At 45.6% G+C, this 8,175-nt stretch overlaps 1 long non-coding RNA gene across 2 annotated transcripts; it reads right to left on the bottom strand.

Annotated features, from left to right (window-relative positions):
• Positions 1 to 1,566: 1,566 nt before the first annotated feature.
• Positions 1,567 to 5,645, bottom strand: LOC105371233 (uncharacterized). Of its 2 annotated transcripts, XR_922082.3 has the most exons (5): positions 5,568 to 5,645; positions 3,035 to 3,144; positions 2,730 to 2,890; positions 1,851 to 1,907; positions 1,567 to 1,591 (listed from the first exon to the last, which is right to left on the bottom strand). It is a non-coding gene; the product is annotated as an uncharacterized LOC105371233 (long non-coding RNA). The 2 variants fall into 2 exon arrangements; XR_922083.3 differs by lacking the exon at positions 3,035 to 3,144 and having other exon boundaries at positions 5,568 to 5,641.
• Positions 5,646 to 8,175: the final 2,530 nt, after the last annotated feature.

Raw genomic sequence — 8,175 nt, 5'->3', positions numbered from 1 at the left:
TGTAGGCCCAAGTCGATGAAGGGACAGACTGTGAAAGAACAGATGCAGAGCATGGACTAAGTATGCAGTGCCCACTGAATCAAAAACTTTGCTGAAGTTGCTTTTCTGCGATTGTCTAACATTCCTCTGAGTCACCTTATCTGCTGCTTAAAAGCCCCAAAGCATTTTCTTAACTGTCTTGTGGCCATTGTTATAAACTCTGCTCTGCTCTTCCTGTGTCAACTACCACACAGTCTGTTTCATTGCATGGCCCTAAAGGCAGAGCCATTTTTCCAACTTTAAGTGCACTAAGGGTATCCTGTTTCTACAAAACCAGTGGATGTTAGTGGTTCTCTTAGGGATTTTTTTTTCTTTTTTGTCATATAAGGCCATAATTGGAGTAATGTGAAAAATATTTTTTCCTCCAGAAGTTATTAGATGCTGCTATATCCAATATTTGTTCTATCAGTACACTATAATGTATCCCAGCTATGCATTTTATATTTCCTAAAACTTCACTTCTGAGAAGGCCCTTCATGTGTTTTTAAAAATTCATGGCCCACCCAGCAGCATTACTAAGTCTTTTGGAGTCTAGCCTCATGGTCTTTCTGTTGATTTTCCTGCTGTCAACATATAATCTGTGAAATGAAACAAAGGGAGGGGATCCAGGCCAAGACTTGGCGACATTCACTTATGACAGTCAGTAGTCAGACACTATGTGCAGAGATCCTCCAGATCCTGTTTGACCAGCATCTTTGGGAGGTTAAGAGCCCAGCCCTGTCAGAACCACTACTCATTATCATCGACCCTTTCACCAGAATGCACCTGTGGGTGTCGGCTACTGATTTTCTCACCTGCAGGCAACTCAGGCTGAGCTGAGAGCAGAAATCTTAAGCTCTTGTCACTAAGGACTCTTCTGTGCTTCCTCTGTATCACCCGCCGTAACTAGCATAATGCTTTACCCACAGGGGCTCAAGAGATGCATTTGTTGAGCTCAACAAATTGAGAATCCAAGTTGTCTTGATAAGCAGAGATGTTATGGTGTAGAGAATTGGATAGGGTAAGCAGAGGAACAAAACAGGTTGTCATTTTGTTGTTGTTGTTGTTGTTTCTAAGAGTACAAAAATTGTGACTGGCAACTGCTGGGGAATCCTAAGGCAGGACTTTAGTCCCTAACCCCCCTACATTCTCACTACATTCATGGAAGCTGCTTTACTCCTTTCCACCTTAGGTATTTCATCTATAATTAGAGGATAAAACACACAACTTCTAAATGCTAGTACTATGACTGATATAGAATTTATTTTGGACATGGGTGAATCTTGGAGTCTCCAAAGCATTTAAATTACCAGACAGAGGCTGGGAGTGGTGGCTCACGCCTGTAATCCCAGCACTTTGGGAGGCCGAGGTGGGTGGATCACCTGAAGTCAGGAGTTCGAAACCAGCCTGGCCGACATGGTGAAAACCCGTCTCTACTAAAAATATAGGAAATTAGCGGGGCGTGGTGGCGCACACCTGTAATCCCAGCTACTCAGGAGGCTGAGGCAGGAGAATCGCTTGAACCCGGAGGCAGAGGTTGCAGTGAGCCGAGATCATGCCATTGAACTCCAGCCTGGGTAAAAAGAGCGAAACTCCGTCACAAAAAAACAAAACAACAACAACAACAAAAACATATATATATATATATATATTACCAGACAGAAGATAGATAATCTGTGATTACTATGTCAAGGACAATTTTAGAATACTTGTTAAATTCACCCCTTTCTTTTCACAGCTGGCCAGGACATAGTCAGTAGCTACTGATACCTTGAATACCTTGGCTGTGTTAACTGTTTTGACCCATCATGGAGCCAAGATGTTGGTTGTACCTTGAGATGCTGATCTGGCTGAAGTCCAGGGTCACGGGCCCAGGATAGGTCATTCAGCTATTTGAAAAAAACAGAAGAGAGACCAGGCCATCCACTGAGGTCATCTCCATGCAGCATGGGCCACTGGTTCCAGTGAACCCACCATCACCATACTTCTCAGGAATCGCTGGTCACTAGACTGAGAGTTCTGTCAAAGCTGAGATCATATCTTGCTAATCTCTGTGTTCATGGTTCCCAGCTCAGGGTCTAGCACTGAGGGAGTTCTCAGGAGAGTGTTCATCAATTATTGAATAAAAGCGATTGCAAACCTCCTCTCACCTGCATTCCTGTCCCAAATATCCTGTCAGGGATGCTGAGATTTCTCCCAGGATGCAGCAAATCCCTTTCCTTAGACTGGCCCTTGCCTTACACCATTCATGCCCCAGGATCCCTCTCTGTGGGACATTGGAGGAAAATGAGTCTGTTCTGAAGAAGTCCTCTTATGGTTCCCCCTGTCATTAGGAGCAATGTCTTCACCTAAACTCCCACTCTATGGGTTGCCACAGCACCCCAATGTGGGGGAACTTTCATATTTTCTTAAAAAGCTATATTTCTGTTCTTTCTCTCATGGGCTTGAGTTCCTTTGGGGAGACATTAATATCTGAATCCCAAGTGTTTAACACAGCGTAAAGAAAATTAAACACCAATAAATATTTATGAGATATCATTTGGAAACCTCCTTCAACTGTAAGTACAGAAGAATATTATAAGTATCACTGCTTTGTATACTAGCAAGGGACACTTACTCTAGCACCTGACCTAGGGCAGAGCTTTTTAACATAAGAATGGATGTCTCCAACCCTTCTCCCAGCATGGTTATTCCCTCTAACCCACACTGACCTGAAGAGCATCCACTGCTACGGCAGCCCCAAGGTCAAGCCTCCTGGGTCTGGGGCGGGGCTCATGGTCACATCTTCCCCCTCTTGGAGTTGCTGCTGCCCCTCACTATAAACCAGATGTCATCCAGCCTGTGGCTCTCCCTGGCCAGGGGCAGGAGACTCCTGTGGAGTAAATTTCTCTCTCAGTCCCCACTGCTCAGCTCGCGCTGCTCCTTGAGAGTTTGGATGATGACAGGCATTGCCCATTTCCCCTGAGGCTTCTGTCCCAATTTGTCCTTATTCCCCCCTTCTTTGGTTTTCATTTACCAATGGCTTGTCCTTTGTGAGTTGTTCTCATCCCCTAAACCTGCTGACTTTCTTTCTTTCATCTGTTCCCTCAGTTCTGGGCTTCCAGTGTGTGGACTCAGCTCAGGCTCCTGCAGGAGACACACAGAGTCAGGTCTCAGCTGCAGGTCCTGGGTGGCATTAAAAACCATCTCAGCAGAGTTTCACCATGTCTGCCAGGCTTGGCCGGTTGTGGTGGTTCACGCCTGTGATCCCTGCACTTTGGGAGGCCGATGCAGGTGGATCGCCTGAGATCGGGAGTTCGAGACCAGCCTGGCCAACATGGTGAGACCCCATCTCAACTGAAAATGCAAAGGATTGGCTGGGCGTGGTGGCGTGCGCCTGTAGTCCCAGCTACTCGGGAGGCTGAGATAGGAGAGTTGCTTGAACCCGGGAGGCGGAGGTTGTGGTGGGCCGGGATTGTGCCACTGCACTCCAGCCTGGGCAACGAGAACAAAACTCTGTCTCCACCAAGGTGACATTTTCCACCCTGTGTCCTGTTCCCCAATAAAAACAAATTCACAAATTCACAAAAAAACTAAACTAAACTAAAACTGTCTCAAAAAAAAAAAAAAAAAAAAACCAAACAAAAAACCCCACCATGTTGGCCAGGCTGGCCTCCAACTCCTGTCCTCAAGGGATCCTGTAATCTCCCCATTTTGGGAGGCCGAGGTGGGCAGATCACTTGGGGCCAGGGGTTTGAGACCAGATTGGGCGACATGGCAAAGCCCCATCTCTACAAAACATATAAGAATCAGCCAGGCGTGGTGGCATGCACTGCCTGTGGTCCTGGCTACTTGGGAGGCTGAGGCTGGAGGATAGCTTGGGCCCGGAAGCTTGAGGTTGCAGTGAGCAGAGATCATACCATTGTACTCCAGCCTGGGTGACAGAGCGAGACTTTGTCTTTAAAAAAAAAAATAGAGGCTGGGCACAGTGGCTGACGCCTGTAATCCCAGCACTTTGGGAGGCCGAGGCGGGCGGATCACGAGGTCATGAGATCGAGACCATCCTGGCTAACACGGTGAAACCCCGTCTCCACTAAAAATACAAAAAATTAGCCGGGCGAGGTGGTGGGCGCCTGTAGTCCCAGCTGCTCGGGAGGCTGAGGCAGGAGAATGGCGTGAACCCAGAAAGCGGAGCTTGCAGTGAGCTAAGATCGCGCCACTGCACTCCAGCCTGGGCGACGGAGTGAGACTCTGTCTCAAAAAAAAAAAAAAAAAAAAAAAAAGAATTGACTTGAAGGAGTCAGGCCGGAAGGCCAAATAGGAGATGAATGGGGATAGCGGCTTGAATAAGGGCAGTGGCAAGGAAAATGGGCTAGGGGTTAGGGAAGGGGGCCGACTGGCTGTGCACCCAAATGCTAAAAAGGGTCCAGAAAGGAATGTGTTCAGCTATTTTTCAAGGACTTCTAAAACTCTCTTAAATGATGTTTATATTAAGGCTGGTGGTGGAGTCTTTCAGAGGCAGTGTTGGTGCTAGAAGAGCTCTTGAGGATCATACAGCCTCCCCCCTCAATTTCACAGTGAAAGAAAACCTCAGAGAAGCAAAGCAACTTGCTCAAGGTCACACAGCATTTCAGTGGTAGAACATGACTCGTGGTTCTTAGATAGCATTACCCAGCCTCCACTGAGGCTAATGGCTGTAGGCGCTATGCCAACATGACTAGATCTAAGGCGACGCAAGCAATATTTTAAGGGACTGAACGCAGATTCCCTCTCTTCCCCTTCGCCACCCCTTCCTCCACGCGCGACTCCAGTGATCAATGAATAATTGTGGAAACAGTTCCTTTGTGCAGAACACTTCGTTAAAAGAGGTGCAGAGATACACGTCTGCGGTAGGATTCCTTATCCTGAGATCTGAGAGCACCTCGATGCTTCCCCAACCTGCTAGGTGAGGGTGGAAAGGGCATTCCTGAGGCAGCCGGTGCCCCTCCTCTGCCCCCCAACTCCCACGTGGTTTCTCCAGCCAAGTTCTCACGGAGTGGCCCCTCCCTCAGCGGCTCCACTGTTGCCATAGCAATTGGGTGGGTGGACAGCCCGTCCTATCTAGAGGCCACCCAGCCCTCGCGTGGGGAGTTACCATAACAACCCCCTAGTAATAGAGGGGGTTGGGTACCGCCCCCTTCCCCCGCAAATGGAAAGGTGGGTGGCTTGATTGGCAGCTGGGCACACGAAAGAAGGAGGGAAAGGGAAGGAAAAAAATAAATAAATAAAAACCATCTCAGTTCCTCAGAGACTCAGAGAAAACACAGTAGGAAGGGACCTCAGAGAGGAACAATAAGCCCCTACCTCACTGAGGAGGAAAGTGAAGCCAAGAAAGACTAAGACTCTCCCAGGCTCCCTCACCACATGGTGGCAGCAGATCGACCACAAAAGCCTTGGCCTCAGCCTCCAGGTCCAAAGCACCTAACTCACCCACCAGGAACTCACTGCTGCGTTTCAGAAAACTTTGGATCAAAAACAGCAATTTCCACTGTGAAAACAAATAAAGTAAAAGGGCTTTTCCTTGGACAAACCTTTTATCACGGTTCTGTAGTCCTAGTATTTATACTCAGTCAGTTGTCATTCGCTGGCTGGTAGATTCAGGCAGGGAGCACATAAAGATTAAGTAATGCTTAACACAAGCCTGCTCTCCCAGCCTGGGATCTCAGCTCCTCCCTTCTTCAGGGAGTTTCCTCTGCTCTAACTGCTGGAGAGCCTCAGCCCTCATGTGGGTCATTTCTCCATGGTGATACCTATTATTTTCTTCCTCTCTTGGAGATAAGAGAGGGCAGAGATTGGTTCTGGGTCTCCACAATTCTAGGTTTTCTCCTAAACCAGCCAGCTCAGCTGAAAGCAATCATGACAGAGAGGTCAGGTCAGTGAAGAGGGTCCCAGGGGAGCAGGGGGTCACAAGGACAGCCCCTCATGGAGATGGTCAGGACCGTGACGTGGGCAACATTTGACCAATTCTGCTGGGGATGATGTGCCAAGGATTAAGGGGAGGATGCTGCCATAAGGAGAAAGGGGAAGAACCAAGGGAGTAGGAGAGGAAGGAAAATAAAATGATTGCCATAAAGATAGAAAGAAATGCAGACTCCAGAGGCAAAGCCCCATGTCACAGAAGGTTAGTTCCAGGTTGTGGATCCTAACCACGCAATTCCTGCTGGACTTTGCTCAGCCCCATTTCAAAAAGGTTTTGGATCAGTGACTTCTTTGTTACTTCCACTTTCCCCGTTTGTGAACAAGAATCACTAGAATTGTTTTTCTAGGAGGGGGGAGGGATAGCATTAGGAGATACACCTAATGCTAAATGATGAGTTAATGGGTGCAGCACACCAGCATGGCACATGTATACATATGTAGCTAACCTGCACATTGTGCACATGTACCCTAAAACTTAAAGTATAATAAAAAAATTTAAAAAAAAAAGAATCGTTTTTCTATGTCTGTCCCACCATTGCACACTGAGGGCAGATAAGCTGTTTGTTCAGTTTCACAGGTTGATAGAGGGAAGGGAATTATGTCAAGGACACCCTCAGAAGCCTCATTCATACTTGGTGTGGATGATTAAGATAAGATTTTAAATTTTTGATCTGGTGTGGTCTACATACCATTTTTCACTTTGAACTAACGCTTTAATGACATGAAATTTGGAAACCTTAGGGGAGAGGGTGAATGTATTTTGCAGATGGGGGAATGTGAGTGTCCAACTGCGGTAGATGGAATTTCTGAAATGGTCCCCAAACATGCCACACCCTTGTCTCTAAAGCCTGTTAAGGTGCTGAGACATCATTCTGGTGATTATGTTGTTATAAGCCAGTTATACGACTTTAAGATGGTGAGGTTACCTGTGTAAACTGGATCTAATCACACCACTGCATACATGCCAGTGGTTTCTCTAGCTGTCAGAAGAAGGTAACGTCAGGAAGAATGGGAGCTTGAGAAGGACTCCATGAGCTGTTATTGGGACAGCCAGCACAGAAAAAGAAAACCCAGTCTTTCAACTCCCACAAAATGAATTCCTCCTACACCTGAAGTGAACTTGGAGAAGTAGCCTGAGCTCCACATAATTACATAGCCAGACACACCTGGATTCAGCTTCCTAAAACCCTTATCAGAGAACCCAGCCTCTGTTCCAGACTTCTGTGGTTTCAATCCACTAGTTTGTTGCATGTGTTAATAGGCAGCAATAGAAAACTAGTACAGATGCCTATCTCTACTCTTGATTTATTATTTCAGATACATGGAAGCTAATCCCTCTAAGAGAAAAAAATTAAAGAGCAAAGAACTACAGCAAAAATCTTGCACTCACGTTCACCTTTATGTCACTATTCTGGAGCCCTTGCAACCTGAAGAAGATAATGAGAGGCATTCCAAGCATGTGAGGAGTATCTCTAATGTTACCAACCAAATTTCTGAAAGAATAAAGATGGTACAATACTAACTCCACATAATCTTATGTGCAAATTCATCATCTATCTCTATTTCTTATAGCAGATTTTTTTCTTTTTTAGCTCATTCATTTAGGCTTGCCAGACCAGGTTTGGTAGCAACTATCAGTTATCAGCAAAAATGAAACAATTCACGAAGAGCAATGAACAGGACTATTATTAAGTTCATCAAAAAAGTCCCTAAAATGCAATATTTCCTCAAATGTCACAAAAGTAAGACAATGATTCACTACAAAAAATCCCAATCTAAGAAAATTTGAAATTTAATGATGTCGGATTTCCAAATTTTTATTTTGTTGGGGCCCAGTCATGGGCACCAGAGATTAGGAAATGACTGTGCAGAGGCTTTAGGGTATTTGGGGAAATGACAAAAATATTCTAAAACGTGACTCTGCTGATGGCTGCACAATTCTACAAACCTCCTTAAATGGTTACATCGTAGATTTAAAATTGGTGAGTTTTATTACAAGTAACTTTTTTTTTTTTTTGAGACAGAGTTTCACTCTGCATTTTCCTCTCACCTGCCCCACACCTCTTCCAAATCTGTTCTTTCACTTCCAGGTCGTTGAGTTTTTCCATTTAAAAATATAAAAGATACAGAAAGAAGAAGATAACCAGTCATCCATATTCCCATCACCTGGAATTAAGTACTATTCACATATGTACATATTTTTTCTTCCAAATCATTTTG

This window comes from Homo sapiens, chromosome 1 (assembly GCF_000001405.40).
Source record: "Homo sapiens chromosome 1, GRCh38.p14 Primary Assembly".
In the NCBI taxonomy this organism is placed as follows: Eukaryota; Metazoa; Chordata; class Mammalia; order Primates; family Hominidae; genus Homo; species Homo sapiens.
The sequence above is the reverse complement of the archived record's forward strand: the minus strand, read 5'-3'. Positions and strand labels throughout refer to the sequence as shown.